The sequence below is a fragment of the Homo sapiens genome, chromosome 9, assembly GCF_000001405.40.
Source record: "Homo sapiens chromosome 9, GRCh38.p14 Primary Assembly".
Lineage (NCBI taxonomy): Eukaryota > Metazoa > Chordata > Mammalia > Primates > Hominidae > Homo > Homo sapiens.
In genome coordinates, this window is record NC_000009.12 from 129,608,872 (window position 1) to 129,622,811 (window position 13,940).

Here is a 13,940-nt window from a genome sequence, read left to right on the forward strand (position 1 = left end):
CTGATCCTCCCTGCTCCGAGGTGCCCCATGTGCGGCAGGAAGAAGCAGCCTCCACAGGACTGCGCTCAGCGGGAGACGGGGCTTCCCCGTGAAGAGGTGCTGAGTGCGAATGCCCACTCCAACACCTGGTCACTGTGTGATCTTGAGAAAGAGTTGAGCCTCTCTGGGCCCTGGCTTCCCCAACAACCAAAGGCTGTACAGAGAGCGGCTTAGGAGAGAGCTCCTGTGTGCGCCGCCGAGGGCTCTGCTGGCTCAGGACATCTGTAGGACCAGTTCCAGCTCCAGTGGGCACCGCCAGCACGCCCAGGTGAGACCGCCTGAGCCCTCAGGGTTTCAGTGTCCTTATCAGCAAACGGGCTAAGGAGCCAGCTTGCAGGGGTGCAGAGGCGTGGGGAGGTGGGGACACCTAGAAAGGGGCAGTGACCTCCTGCCTCTCCCAGCTCTGCCTTCTGCCTTGGGTCAGAGTCATTCCTCCCCCTCCCCCCAACTAGACCGGGCTGCCACTCTCCCCTGCCCTGGCTGGGCACAGGACTGTCCATGACCAATGGCAGGCGTGGGGTTGGAGGGTGCGCCTGCCTTGATCCCAGCTGCTCAGATGGGTCTGAGTTGGGGGGAGCAGAGCTTTCCTGGCCTCCCTGACATGCTGCTTCCTGAAGCCCAGGAGGGGCAGCCCCCCCACCCCAAACCCCACCCCACCCCCGCCAGCCCTGAGTGGAAATGCCCCACGGAAAAGGGCCCTGTTGGGGCCCCTGGGGAGGCCCCCAATCTGGGGTCTCTGCCAAAGAGGGTGAGAGATAGGCCCCCGGAGGGCCCCCGGGGAAGAGCTGGGGTTGGGTCCATCCCCTGAATGCCTCGCTCCCTCTTCCTCATCCCCTGTTCATGGTGGGGGACATGCTGGTGGACAGACAAGTGGCTACAGAGGGCCAGGGGGAGGCGTCTGGGCCTCCAGGGCAGCAGATGACCCCGAATGTGGGGGCTGCGGCCCTGGGAGACCCCGTGAGAGGCCGTGTATGTGTGAGGTCGGCCTGTGTTCACCGGCTGTTTGTAGGGCAGGAGTCCGGGTATGTGTGTGGTGTGTGTGTCTGAAGGGGGTGTCTGTGGGGCGTTGTTTTGTCTGTGTACCGTGTGGGTGTGGCCCTGTGGTGTGCCTGTGTGTGTCTCGGGGTGCGTATCTCGGTGGTGGGTGTGAGTGCCGAAAGCGGCGGGACTGAGGCTTCCGTCCTCCATCTGTGGTCTGCGGGGAGGGAGTGGACAGCGCAGGGAGCGGACAGGAGCGCTGCGGGATCCCGGGGCCTTGCGGGCCGAGCCACAGGGGAGGGGGGAGGAGGGGGGGAGGAGGGAGGGGGAGGGGAAAGGGGGAGGGAGAGGGGAAAGGGGGGAAGGGGAGGGGTAAGCGGTAGGCGGGGGCCAGGTCTCCCTGCAGGCCCCGCCCCCCCCCCACCGGCGTGGTGCCCCCGGCGCGAGCAAGGGCGTGGAGTCCGGGGTCGCGGGGGCGCCGAGACCCGCCCCGGGGGCTCCACGCGGACTCCGGCTTCAGTGCTCGGCGCTGCCGCACGGCTGCAAGCCTAGCAATTTTGGGCTGAACAACAAAAGCGAGAGAGAGGGAAGTTGGGGGGCGGGGGCGGCGCGTTTCCCCCCACCCGCCAGGGCCGGTCGTGGGCTCGGAGCAGGTGCCAGGAGGTCGCGCGGCCGGAGCGGGGCTGTGCGGAGCCAGCAGCGCGGAGGCGGAGGCGGGCGGGCGCGAGCGCCGCGCGAGGGGAAAAGTTTCCGACCCTGGAGCGAGAGGCTGAGAAGTTTCGGCCGCGCCAGGCGGCGCCAAAGCCAGGCCAACACTGCCCCCGCGTGGGCGCGCCGCGGTGCTGCAGCCGGCGCAGGGGCCGGGGCCCGCCGCGACCCTTGGGGTAAACTGAGGCTCAGAGAGGGCGACGTGGGCTGCGCAAGGCCACCTGGAGGAGGGGCCGTAGAATCAGGCCTGCTGAGACGGGGGACGGGGCGTGAATGTCCAGAAAGGGAGACAGAAGGGAGGGGACGTCCCAGGGACTGAATCCCACTCCTCGTCCTAGATGTGTCTCCACCCCCTTCCTTCCAGTTACCTCCAGAGTCCAGCAATCAGGTACCCGGTGGAGGGGCGGTGGCAGTGCTGTCTTCTTCCCATCCCTGCAGAGTTTGTCTAAACTAACCCTAGCTCTATTGCCCTTCTTCTGGAGTTAGGGCGCCTCTCCCAAAAGGCGTCCCCCATCCACAACCCATCCCGGCCCTAAGGACCCCCACCAGCCACCGCCCAGGCCAGTCCCACCGTTTGCAGCCCATTCCTTTGCCATTAAACAAGGCGCCAGGGTGTGGATTCCCTGCTGTTTCCTCAGCGGCCAGGAGGTGGCGAGAAAGACCCGGATCCTGGGCAATGGCGCGGGTCTGGGGGCCACTGACAGCTTCAGGGAAAGAGGCGGCGGCTCAAACTTTCTCCAGGGGGCTGGAACGCAGGTGTGGCAGGGGCAAACCTGGTGGGCAGGGTCTGCCACCTTGTCTTTCGCCACCTCCTGATGCAGATTTGAACATCCACCCCCTCATCCCCAGACTAGGAGAGAAACCGTGGGCCCCAGCCCGTCCCACACAGGTGCTTTGCCTTCTGGGACCAGAGGGTGCCAACCCTTCCGGGGAAACGCATGAGACCAACACAGGGCTCTCTTCCCTCGGCTGGAGTCTGGACGCCCTCACTCCATTGTGGATGTCAGATGGAGGCTTGGTGGGGGAGGACAGAGGCTTGGGGTGGGGGTTCTCCACCCCTAGGCTGAGTTTCCAGCAGGTGCCTGCTTCAGGTGTGGGCTGATCTAGGTCAACAGAGGCTTGGTCCCAAGTTTTTTGGGTTTCGTTGTTGTTGTTGTTTGTTTGCTTGTTTTTTGAGACAAGGTCTTACTCTCTCGCCCAGGCTGGAGTGCAGTGGCGGGATCACAGCTCACTGCAGCCTCAACCACCTGGGCTCAAGCAATCTGCCCGCCTCAGCCTCCCAAGTACCTGGGGCTAGAGGCGTGGAGCACCACGCCCAGCTATTTTTTTTTCTTTTTTTAAGAGACAGGGTCTATGTTGCTCAGGCTGGTCTCAAACTCCTGGGCTCAAGCCATCCTCCCACCTCAGCCTTCCAAAGTTCTGGGATTACAGGCATGGACCATTGTGCCCAGCATGTTCCCAGGTTTCAGGTATGTGGCAGGGTCTCCCACCTTCCAGAAGAGGGGTTCACTACAAGTCCTGAACCCCAGGGATGCCCTGTCCCCACCCCTCAGCCTCATCCTGGCTGTGTCTCCATCCCCTTCCTTCCAGGAACCCCCAGAGACCAGCAACCAGGTACCCAGAAAGGCTTGTGGTGTGACACCTACTGGCAGGTCCCAGCCACCTGGGATGTGCCTTTATTTGTGGGGCAAGGAAGGACGCTCCTCATTGCCTGGCCCATGTGTGCCCCTGGCCTTGGGTTCGCGAGTGTTCACCTCTTATCTGGCTGCAGTGTTGCGGAGGCCAGGAGGAGATGGTACCCCTTAGGGCAGCCTTGCTTCAGGACCGACTGCAGCACCCGGTTGGGCAGGAGGGACTCCTAGAGTGAGACAGAGGACCAGCTGGCTGCTACCAGGACCTCGGGGCAGGGGACTGGGCTCCCAGTGGGATTCTGTGCTGAAGCCCTGTTGGGCAGGTAGTGCTGTCAGCCCCATTTTAAAAGATGAGGAAACAAATGCAAGGTCAAGCACGGTGGCTCTCGCCTGTAATCCCAGCAGTTTGGGAGGCCAAGGCGGACAGATCACCTGAGGTCAGGAGTTCAAGACCAGCCTGGCCAGCATAGTGAAACCCTGTCTCTACCGAAAATACAAAAATTAGCTGGGTGTGGTGGTGGGTGTCCCCATTGCAGAGGTTGCAGTGAGCCAAGATTGCACCACTGCACTCCAGCCTGGGCGACAGAGCAACACTCTGTCTCAAAAAAGCAAAGAGAGGAGAGGGGAGGGGAGGGGAGATGCAGAAAGGAACTGTGATCGGAACCCAGGCACCTGGCTTAGAGCCACCCCTTGACAGCTGCCCTTTGAGGGAGATGCAGGAACACAGGGCGTGGCCACTGCAAGCCCCCACGGTGACTTGGCTCTCAGGGAGGGTCCACTCCCAGCCCCAGCCACTCCACCAAACAGGGCTGCTCCCGGAGCCAGCTGCCAGCAGGGGCTCACCAGCTTCTAGGTCCAGGAGCAAGACCATTTGCCCACCTGCTCCAGGTTTCTGTGCGGGTCCAAGAAGGCTCGGAGGCTGCTTCGCGGCCTCTGAGCAGCGGCCTTCTTCCATGAACAGAAGGGCAGGCTGCTGTTCATGGAGGTGTCCTCAGAAAGGTAGCCCTGTGTCTTCTGGGTGGACCTGGGGGAGACAGGACCCCATGAGCTTCCTGGACTCTGAGTCCCCGGCCCACCCATGGCTGGCAGGGCCCTTGAGGACCCACACTGGCAACCCGCCTGCTGCTGGGTGGGGAGGTCTGTAGGCAAGGGGGGTGGAGGGCCCTGGCAATGTCCACGAGTCCCATCCGCTTCCCTGGAGCCTCACAGGCCAGCGCAGTCCCAACACGAGGAGCTGGCCAGGGTCTCCTCCTTGGCCCCAGGGTACAGGGCTTTGGGCAAACTCTCCAGCCGTTTTCCGACACTCCCAAACACCCGCTCGGACGCCACTGGCAGGGCGGCCTTCTGGTTCACAATGACGCTCTGTTGGACTGCAGGAAAGAGGGCAGGGTGAGATCTCTGCCCAGGAGGAGGGCACTGGTGCCCCCACCCTCTTTTCCTCCCTCTGGCAGGCAGGGCCGGTCAGAGCCCTGTCTCCATGGCAACCCCAGGCTCCCCAGCGCCTTCTGGCTGCCTCCAGAGAAGCCTTGGGTTTTAAAACCACCTTGCGTGACCATTTCTGTTATACCCAAGCTGTGCCCCTGCGCACCCCCACTCACGCTGCAGCCGGAAGCGTGCCCCCTTTCTCGCAGTGGGGAGACCACTTACCCCATCATAGAAATCCCAGAAACCATGCTGAGAGCGTTGAGGGCTTCAGGGAGGGCTGTCTCAGGGATGGGGGCTCTTCCTGTCCAACAGCAGCCATGCGAGGTGGTCCAAGGACCCTGAGTTCCCCAATGGCTGCCCCAGGATGGAAAGGGCTGGGAAGCAGCAGGCTGGCCCCCACGTCTCCTGGGCACCCTGCTGCCCGGGACACCATGATAGCTCCTTATGGCCAGTGGCTGACACGGAATCATCTCCTGTATGCACCAACTGCCATTCACATGAAATTGTTTCTCTTGGGCTTGTCCTGGCCTTGGATTCCCAAGAGGGGCCCGGGGTCACTCTGGCTTCTATATGTGGCTCTGCGTCACCCACACAAGCCCATCCTGCTTCTGGGGCCTTGGTTTCCCCACCAAACAAACAGAAGTTGGGCAAAAATCACAGCTTCTAACTCCAGCTTCCTGTCACGCTAAGGAGGCTGCGTCAGATCCCTCCCAAATCAGCGAAGGTCCTAGGTTTGCAGGGCATCGCCCACAGCTAGACCTTGAGGCAGACATTTCCTGAAACTGCACATAGTGGGTGCTCAATAAACAGCTAGAGGACATTGACTGTTGGGGACCCTGGGGGCTGCTGGATCCTGAGAAGAGGCTGGGCACACAGAAAAAGGTGGAGCTTAGTCAAGGTTATACCAGAGTAAGAACAGGGACTTCTCGCCTGCTTCTCGAGACACACTTCAGAAAATTCACTGGGAATGGCCAGGCGCGGTGGCTCATGCCTGTAATCCCAGCACTTTGGGAGGCAGAGGCAGGTGGATCCCTGAGGTCAGGAGTTCGAGACCACCCTGGTCAACATGGAGAAACCCCGTCTCTACTAAAAATACAAAATTAGCCAGGGGCGGTGGCGCATGCCTGTAATCCCAGGTACTCAGGAGGCTGAGGCAGGAGAATGGCATGAACCCGGGAGGTGGAGCTTGCAGCGAGCCGAGATCGCGCCACTGCACTCCAGCCTGGGCGACAGAGTGAGACTCCGTATCAGAAAAAAAAAAAGAAAAAGAAAACTCACTGGGAACTGCAAAACAGACACCATTACATCCAGGGTCTGGTGGCTCTTAGCTTCCTTGCTGGACCTGGCAGTGCCAACTGTCTCCAGGAGAGAGAAAGTTTCCGCTTCGCGGCTTTTCTGGGCACCTCCTCAGGCAGGCTTCGAGGTCTGCCTTCATGGATGTCAAAGGAAGATGCTTCCAATGGCATCTGGACCTCCTCCAGCCCCTGTAGGCTGTGGGGACTGCGGAGGGGAGCAAGTGTGGGCTCTGGAGGCTCCGGCTACGGGTCTCAAGGTGGGCAGATACAGCATATGGGAACCCCTTGGCAGCGAGCAGTCCAAGGTGCTGCCTGCGTTGGAACACCTCCACTGGACTCTGGACCCTCTACTTGGTCTTCGAAGGTCAACCTGACATCCTCCAAGGAGGCCAGTTCAGGCACATCCTCTGCAGGATCACTGATCTCTTGGCCTTTGCAAAGCCAGTCCCTCACTCTAGGGGCCCGGAGCTACAGCCTCTCTGCCCTCCTGGCTAGAACTTTCGGGAGTCTCGAGGCTCCCCATCCTGTCTGCTTACCTGAGCGTCTGCGCTCCCAGTAGCGGAGCGTTGTGTCCTGCAGGGTCTCGTCAGCGAATCGCACCCGGAAAGGGCAACGCTGCCTGCAGGGCCTAGAGCCTTCCCCCGAGGGGTTGTGGGTCAGCGCAGCCTTGAGCCTGGGGACCTGTGCACCGTGGGGCCTGCTGAGAGAGGGGAGAGGGGCCTGTGCTCGAAGCCCCCCACCGTACCCCAGCACACACGCACCAGCCCCAGACTCGCTGTGAGATCCTGGACAAGTGCCCTACACTGGTCTTGAAGAATGGATAACGCCAATCACAGCAGCCGGCCTTAACGGAGCACTTCCTACCTGCCAGGCAGGCTCAAGCACGCACATACACCAACCCACCAAATGCACACAGTCCCCATGAAACGCTGTTATCATTCTCATTTTATAGTTGAGGAAACAGAGGCACAGAGACTATTCCAAGGCGATGCAGCTGTCAGGCATGGAGCCAAGACCTGCATCCTGGTTCCAGAGCTGGCGCCCTCGCACGTAAAGCAATTTAGCAGAGAGAATAAGAATGCCAGCCCAGGAGTCATGCAGTCCTGGGTTTCATTCCTGACCCTTTTGAGCCTCAGTTTTCTTGTCTGTAAAATGGGAATCATTGTGCCCACCCTACAGGGTTGTGAAGAAAGGAAATGGGCCGTACAAGCATCCAGCCCAGGGTCTGCAGGACCCAGAGGAAACATCACTAACAGGGAGCTGTTTTTTGTTTTTGTTTTGTTTTTGAGACAGATTCTCGCTCTGTGGCTCAGGCTGGAGTGCAGTGGTGCCATCTCGGCTCATTGCAAGCTCCGCCTCCCGGGTTCACGCCATTCTCCTGCCTCAGCCTCCCGAGTAGCTGGGACTACAGGCGTGTGCCACCACGCCCGGCTAATTTTTGTATTTTTAGTAGAAACGGGGTTTCACCTTATTGGCCAGGGTGGTCCCGAACGCCTGACCTCAAGTGATCCACCCCCCTTCGCCTTCCTAAGTGCTGGGATCACAGGCATGAGCCACCGCCCGCCCGCCTGCCTGAGCTGTTCTTATTGTAACTGTCTATCTCAATCATGCCCCATCCCAGCCACGTGGCCTTTGGTAGACTGTCTCCAAGTCTCCATTCTGCAGGTTTTTTTCCCTTTAAATTATAGGCACAATAATACCATCCTCCTGGGTTTGGTGAGTATCAAATGATTTACATGAGGCATGTAGGACGTGGCCTGGCACAGGGTTTGGCCTTAATCAAGGGTATCTGTTATATGTATATTTCATAGATAACATTGTTCCATTTATTGTTATTAATTTCAGCCTCAACCCGGTGTGGTGGCTCACGCCTGTAATCCCAGCACTTTGGGAGGCAGGCAGATCAAAAGGTCAAGAGATCCAGACCATCCTGGCCAACATGGTGAAACCCCCGTCTCTACCAAAAATACAAAAAAATTAGCTGGGCACGGTGGCGTGCGCCTGTAGTTCCAGTTACTCGAGAGGTTGAGAATCACTTGAACCCAGGAGGTAGAGGTTGCAGTGAGCCGAGATCGTGCCACTGCACTCCAGCCTAGGGACGGAGTGAGACTTCGTCTCAAAAAAAAAGAAAAAAAAAATCAGCCTCAAGGGCAAGGCTGCGGGAAGGCCTGCTTGACCCACCTATAACTCTGTTATGGAGGAAGGTCATGGCTGACCGTTAGTATGCACATAGTTATATGTCTGCATCCATTCATCTGACCACATCTGTATGTCTGTGTAGATGCAGAGGGAATGCTTTTCATCAGCCTCCAAAGAGCCAAGCAGTTGGGAGGTGTCAGGACAGTGCCTGGCTACATGCCTTGGGACCTAGTCATCTAACAGTTGTCTGCTCAGGAACCCCTGCTCTCTGCTGGCTGCTGGGCCAGGCAAAGGCATAACCCAGCTCTGCCCACCTGCCTGAAATCTCAGCATCTTCACTCGAGGGCCACTGGAGCCTGTTCTGAGGCACCACAGTGTCCCCTGCAGGGCCTACCAGGGAATCTCACACACAGTAAGGTGCTCAAGTATTTGCTCTTGAATGTGAAAGTCTGTAACTGTGTTTGTCTCTGCTTTTGCTCACATTTGAGAGAATGAATTCCATACTTTTATTTATTTGTATCTTGTGAGAAGTCATGTGTATATTTGGCCTGATTGGTTGAACGTTCTGAGGTTGGTAAATGTGTTTCACTGTTTTTGTTTGTTTGTTTGTTTTTTGAGACAGGGTCTTGCTCTGTCACCCAGGCTGGAGTGCAGTGGCACGATCTTGGCTCACTGCAGCCTCAACCTCCCAGGCTCAAGCAATCCTCCCACCTCAGCCTCCCGAGTAGCTGGAACCACAGGCATGCACCACCACGCCCAGCTAATTTTTGTAATTTTTGTAGAGACAGGGTTTCACCATGTTACCAAGGCTGGTCTCAAACTCCTGGGCTCAAGCGATCCTCCTGCCTCAGCCTCCCAAAGCACTGGGATTATAGGCATGAGCCACCATGCTTGGCCATGTGTTCCATTTCTAGTTCCTACCCTGATCCATCAGGAGTATCTACCTAGAGTACTGTGTGAGGAATGGTTCTGAGGCTCAGTGGGGAAATATGATCCATTAGTTTTGTCTGCTGTGGGTATGAGATGAGGAAGAATGATATGTTTGTGATGTATTTACTCTCCCTGGTCTTTAAACTCATGGGCAGTGCCATTCACCCTTCACCCCTGCTTAAGCCTGGAGGAATTTTAACCTGGAGGAACTGTTTCTGTCTTCTTTTCCTCCTCTGTTAAAACTATGGTGTCTAGGCCCAGGTAGGTTCCAATTCCTAGGCTCTTCTCTTACCTCCATCCCTTAGTTTTCTCCCAATATTCAACATATAGTAAAACCTAATAAAAGTTAGAGTAAGAAATGGACAAATGATGGTGGGATGGGTAAAATGATGGAAGACTGGGTGGGTGGGTTGATGGGTGGATGGACTGATGGGTGAGTTAATGAAAGGGTCTGAATAGAACTGAACTATGAATGTATGGGTAGATGGACAGATGCGTGGCTGGATGATTATGTAGATGGGTATGTAGGTTTGTGGATGGCTTTATGACTAGATTAGCGATGGACAGTGTCCTGGGTTTACAAGTGGATGGAAGGATTTGTAGATGGTTGGTCATTGGATCAATGGATGGATGGATAGAAGTGTGGGAGTTTTATTTTTTATTTATTTTATTTTATTTTATTTCATTTTTATTTGAGATGGAGTCTCACTCTGTCACCCAGGCTGGAGTGCAATGGCACAATCTCAGCTCACTGCAAGCTCCGCCTCCCGGGTTCACACCATTCTCTCGCCTCAGCCTCCCGAGTAGCTGGGACTACAGGCGCCCGCCACCACGCCCGGCTAATTTTTTGTGTTTTTTTTTTTTTTTTTGTATATTTTTAGTAGAGACGGGGTTTCACCGTGTTATCCAGGGTGGTCTCAATCTCCTAACCTCGTGATCCGCCCACCTCAGCCTCCCAAAGTGCTGGGATTACAGGTGTGAGCCACCGTGCCCTGCCGAAGTGTGGGAGTTTTAGATGGATGACTGGCTAGCTGGTTGGCCAGGTAGATGAATGGATCCACAGGACACCTGATTCATGGGTGGGTGGGTGAGTGAATGTATGGATGGATGGAGTCATGGGTCCATGATAGATTAATGGGTGGACAGAAGGATGGATGGATAGATGGAGAGATTCATGAACGGGTTGTAGAAGACTTGGTTCATGGATGAGATGGATGCAAAGATGGATGGGTGAATGGGAAAATGAATATATGAATAGATTCATGGATGAATTATGTGTTGGTAGAAGACCTCATTAATGGATGGGTTGATTCATTGATGAACTGGCGAATGAATCTTGAATGGGTTGGTAGAAGATCTGATTCACGGACAGCCATATGTAAGGATGGATGAATGGGTAGATAGGTGGATAAATGAATACATTCATGGGCGAAAGAGGAAAGAAAGAAGGAAAGAAATGCCCCTTTCCTCCACTACCCTACCCTTATCCCGCCCATCACTCACTGGTTGGCCTTTCTGACAGTGGTGAATTGTGAGTGATCACCCTTCAGGGGCCCCAGAATAGGTGTCTGCTGGAGCGAAATCTTCGTAAGACTATCCTGGAGGTGCGATGACTGGCCCCTTAAAGACAAACAGGCCACATCTGGCATGAGTGGCCAGGCTGTCCCGCCCTGGAAACATCGATGGCAACCCCGTCCCCACCAAGAAGCGGACTGACGCTTACCACAGGTCTGGGAGGAATGAACAGTTGGGACACCGCGGAGACCCTGGGCAGTGCTCTAATACACCCCTTTGATGTTGCGGTGCTGGGGATGCTGGAGCCAGGAGGAAACAGTTGTGAGCCTTGGCTGGGGGACGGTCCTTTCTAGTCATGTGGCCTCGGGGTGATGGCAGACCAGCCCTCAAGGACGGGTTGCGAGGGCTCTGAGATACTCAGCTAACATTAGCATCCTTCTAGCCTGGGTGGTGGGGTGGTGGGTGCGGGGACACAAGGGACCACCCCCCACCGGAAATGACTCGGGCCCGCCCCCCGGGCCCCGCGGGGCCTCACTCAGTGGCTCCGGCTCCTCGGCGCACTTCTCCTGGAGCTGGTGCAGGAACTCACGGAACCTGCTGGGGAGGAGCTCTCCTAGGAAGGCGCCCAAGAAGTCGGGGTCCTCCCTGGCCACGCGCCTCCGGGGGCGCTCGCGCTCTCCAGGCCCTGGCTGCCTGGGCGCCGATTCCCGGGACGCGCCGGCCGACAGCAGGGGAGGCGGCAGCAGGGACCGCAGCAGCCCCCGCTTCCGCACGGCCCGCCGGGTCGCGGTGAGCAAGGCGGGCAGGCGCGGCGGGAGGCGTCCGACGCCCACCCCGGGCTTGGCGTCCCCTTCCGGCCACCACGCGGCGCCGCCCCCCGGGATCCTCCAGTCCCCGGAGCCCCGCGCGCCCAGAGCCGCTCGGAGCGCGGGCGGGGTCAGCTTGGGCAGCCGCGGGTCGCTGCTGCGTCGGAAGTCTCCGTCGCCAGGGAGCCCCTTGGGCGCCAGGTCCTGGGCCCCTGGGCGAAGTCGACGCCAGAACATGCTTGGCCCCGCACTCAGCTCACCGCACCCTCAGCGCGCGTGGGTGGGGGGCGCCGGCTGAGGTGGGGAGGGCATAGTCCAGCCCCAGGCCATAGTGCCCCGGGCGGGGCAGCGCGGTGCGGGGTGAACGCCACCGGCCCGGCGGACAGCGAGTGGCTTCAGGCGAGAGCTCCCAGAGCCTCTGTTTCCTCACCTGAAAAATGGTGACAGCAAGAGTAGCCAACTTTGGGGGTTGCTGTGACGTTTAAATGAGCAAGTACATGCCAGTCTTAGAACAGCAAGCTCGGTACAGTGCCAGGCACGCTGGCCAAGCTTACACATAGACTAGCTGCCATTCTTAGTATTTCAAAGTTATTATTATTTAGGATTTAGTCCCAGCTCCACCACTTATTAGCTTTGTAACCTTGGCCAAGCCAATTAACTTCCCTCTGCCTTCCCTGGGGGCTCTGGTCTGCAGAATGGGGATAATAGCAGCACCTGCCTCTCTGCAGCCGTGAAACGGCATCACCGCATCACCGCTGGTAGAGAGAGCACTTAGCCTGCCTTGCAGTGTTCAAAGCGTGGAACTGTTACCGTCATTAGCGCTCTACTGGGAATTAGGAAACCTGGAACCAGCTTGAGGGAAGAGAGACCTGACCAGCAGCCTCCCAGCCCTGGTGCTGCCTCAGAGACCCCTGGGTGGGGAGCCTGTTGAAAATACAGATGACTTACCCCCAGCCCCCATTCTGATTCAGTACGTCTCTGCTGGAGCCAAGACAGTTTGTTGTTCTTGTTGTTGTTGTTAAAGAGATGGGGTCTTGCTAAGACGGGGTCCTGCTGTCACCCAGGCTGGAGTGCAATGGCACCATCATAGCTCACTGCAGCCTCAAATTCTTGGGCTCAAGTGATCCTCCTGCCTCAGCCTCCTGAGTAGCTGGGACTACAGGCACACACCACCACAGTTGGCTAATTTTTGTATATTTTGTAGAAATGGGGTAGAATTTTTTTGTATTTATGTTGCACGGGCTGGTCTTGAACTCCTGGGCTCAAGTGATCCACTTGCCTTGGCCTCCCAAAGTGCTGGGATCACAGGCGTGAGTCCCCACTTCTGGCCAAGACACAGACTTTTAACAAACTCCCCCTTTGGGAGGCAGAGCCCCAGTCTTACTCCCAGCTCTGACACTGAGGGGTTTCTAAGCCTGCTTCCTCCCAACCACACCCCACTCCCAGATTGTTGTCAGCTCTGAGCTGACTCCTGGGCAGTGTCACACTCACCCTGGTGGGCTTCTGGGTGGGGCCCTAGAAGGTCCTGTGAGTTTAGAGCTCTCTACAGGCAGGCTGTAGAGCCCATCATCCCTGCCTGGTGCCTCTCCCAGCCCCTCCCGGCTGCCTCTGGGCCGCTTCAGGGTCATTGTGATCCGCCCCTCACCCCTGGGCATCTGAGTAGCAGTGGGCACTGAGGCCTGGGGACTAAGGGTGGGGCTATTGTGCCCTGGATGCCCTGGCCGCAGCCACCTGGGGCACTGGGACTCTGACCAGGGCAGCCAGGCCTACCCTTTCCAGATCTGGGAGGCTTAGGCTGGGTGGCTCTGGAAGTAGAACTTCCACCCCAAGACCAGGCAGTCAGAATACAATGGACCTAGAAATGAACAGACCCTGCGGGGCACGGTGTCTCACGCCTGTAATCCCAGCACTTTGGGAGGCCGAGGCGGGCGGATCACCTGAGGTCAGAAGTTCAATACCAGCCTGGCCAACATGGTGAAACCTCGTCTCTACAAAAAATACCAAAATTTGCCATGCATGGTGTTGTGCACCTATAATCCCAGCTACTTGGGAGGCTGAGACAGGAGAATCGCTTGACCCTGGGAGGCGGAGGTTGCAGTGAGCTGAGATCATGCCACTGCACTCCAGCCTGGGTGACAAAGCGAGACTCCATCTCAAAAATAATAATAATAATAATCCAAGGTCTGGGTGCTAGGTGTGCTTCTTGCTATTGAGATGTCATTTCTTTCAGGCAGTCTCAGCTGACAAAGAAATGTGTGTGTATACTATGAAACACACACATATCTATAAATATTTCTATAGGTAACCATCTGTACTTATATTAAGCTAAACATGAGCTCATGCTGACATCTCCAACTCTAATCCGTTACACAGATCATTTGAGACTCTGTCTCACAAAAAAAAAAGAGGCCAGGTTCCAGTGGCTCATACCTGTAATCCTAACACTTTGGGAGACCGAGGCAGGTGGATTGCCT

General features: G+C 57.2%; 2 protein-coding genes across 7 annotated transcripts in view, besides 6 other annotated features; one reads left to right on the forward strand and one right to left on the reverse strand.

The window, feature by feature from the left end:
• Positions 1–13,940, forward strand: part of NTMT1 (N-terminal Xaa-Pro-Lys N-methyltransferase 1) — a 27,264-nt gene continuing 13,324 nt past the window's right edge. For 2 of the 3 annotated variants that reach the window (NM_001286796.2, XM_047423259.1), the window contains exon 1: positions 1–307. The gene's annotated coding sequence lies outside the window, so the exon portion shown is untranslated. Of the gene's footprint in view, positions 308–11,341; positions 11,450–13,940 lie in introns of those variants that run through there. The other variant, NM_001286797.2, reaches the window with a different exon arrangement.
• Positions 1,807–1,856: a silencer, noted in NCBI's record as "silent region_20384". NCBI's record gives its function as "represses an Ori minimal core promoter by ATAC-STARR-seq in GM12878 lymphoblastoid cells {active_cell/tissue: GM12878}" and the evidence as "EXISTENCE:reporter gene assay evidence [ECO:0000049][PMID:35858748]".
• Positions 1,887–1,936: a silencer, noted in NCBI's record as "silent region_20385". NCBI's record gives its function as "represses an Ori minimal core promoter by ATAC-STARR-seq in GM12878 lymphoblastoid cells {active_cell/tissue: GM12878}" and the evidence as "EXISTENCE:reporter gene assay evidence [ECO:0000049][PMID:35858748]".
• Positions 2,191–2,692: an enhancer, noted in NCBI's record as "H3K4me1 hESC enhancer chr9:132373341-132373842 (GRCh37/hg19 assembly coordinates)". NCBI's record gives its function as "activates a minimal SCP1, AML or CMV promoter by ChIP-STARR-seq in naive H9 embryonic stem cells {active_cell/tissue: H9 hESC(naive)}" and the evidence as "EXISTENCE:reporter gene assay evidence [ECO:0000049][PMID:30033119]".
• Positions 2,280–2,369: an enhancer, noted in NCBI's record as "active region_29116". NCBI's record gives its function as "activates an Ori minimal core promoter by ATAC-STARR-seq in GM12878 lymphoblastoid cells {active_cell/tissue: GM12878}" and the evidence as "EXISTENCE:reporter gene assay evidence [ECO:0000049][PMID:35858748]".
• Positions 2,693–3,192: an enhancer, noted in NCBI's record as "H3K4me1 hESC enhancer chr9:132373843-132374342 (GRCh37/hg19 assembly coordinates)". NCBI's record gives its function as "activates a minimal SCP1, AML or CMV promoter by ChIP-STARR-seq in naive H9 embryonic stem cells {active_cell/tissue: H9 hESC(naive)}" and the evidence as "EXISTENCE:reporter gene assay evidence [ECO:0000049][PMID:30033119]".
• C9orf50 (chromosome 9 open reading frame 50) lies at positions 3,354–13,053 on the reverse strand. 4 transcript variants are annotated; one of them, XM_011518655.2, is made up of 9 exons: positions 12,958–13,053; positions 12,415–12,531; positions 11,196–11,896; positions 10,869–10,959; positions 10,649–10,765; positions 6,613–6,776; positions 4,564–4,726; positions 4,236–4,380; positions 3,354–3,583 (listed from the first exon to the last, which is right to left on the reverse strand). In XM_011518655.2, exons 3-9 carry the CDS (start codon positions 11,701–11,703, stop codon positions 3,476–3,478), a joined length of 1,296 nt encoding a protein of 431 aa, XP_011516957.1. In that variant the 5' UTR covers positions 11,704–11,896; positions 12,415–12,531; positions 12,958–13,053; the 3' UTR covers positions 3,354–3,475. The 4 variants fall into 4 exon arrangements, with proteins under 4 accessions (XP_011516957.1, XP_011516958.1, NP_955382.3 ...); XM_011518656.2 differs by lacking the exon at positions 12,415–12,531; NM_199350.4 differs by lacking the exons at positions 12,415–12,531; positions 12,958–13,053 and having other exon boundaries at positions 11,196–12,230.
• Positions 11,692–12,342: an enhancer, noted in NCBI's record as "H3K27ac-H3K4me1 hESC enhancer chr9:132382842-132383492 (GRCh37/hg19 assembly coordinates)". NCBI's record gives its function as "activates a minimal SCP1, AML or CMV promoter by ChIP-STARR-seq in naive H9 embryonic stem cells {active_cell/tissue: H9 hESC(naive)}" and the evidence as "EXISTENCE:reporter gene assay evidence [ECO:0000049][PMID:30033119]".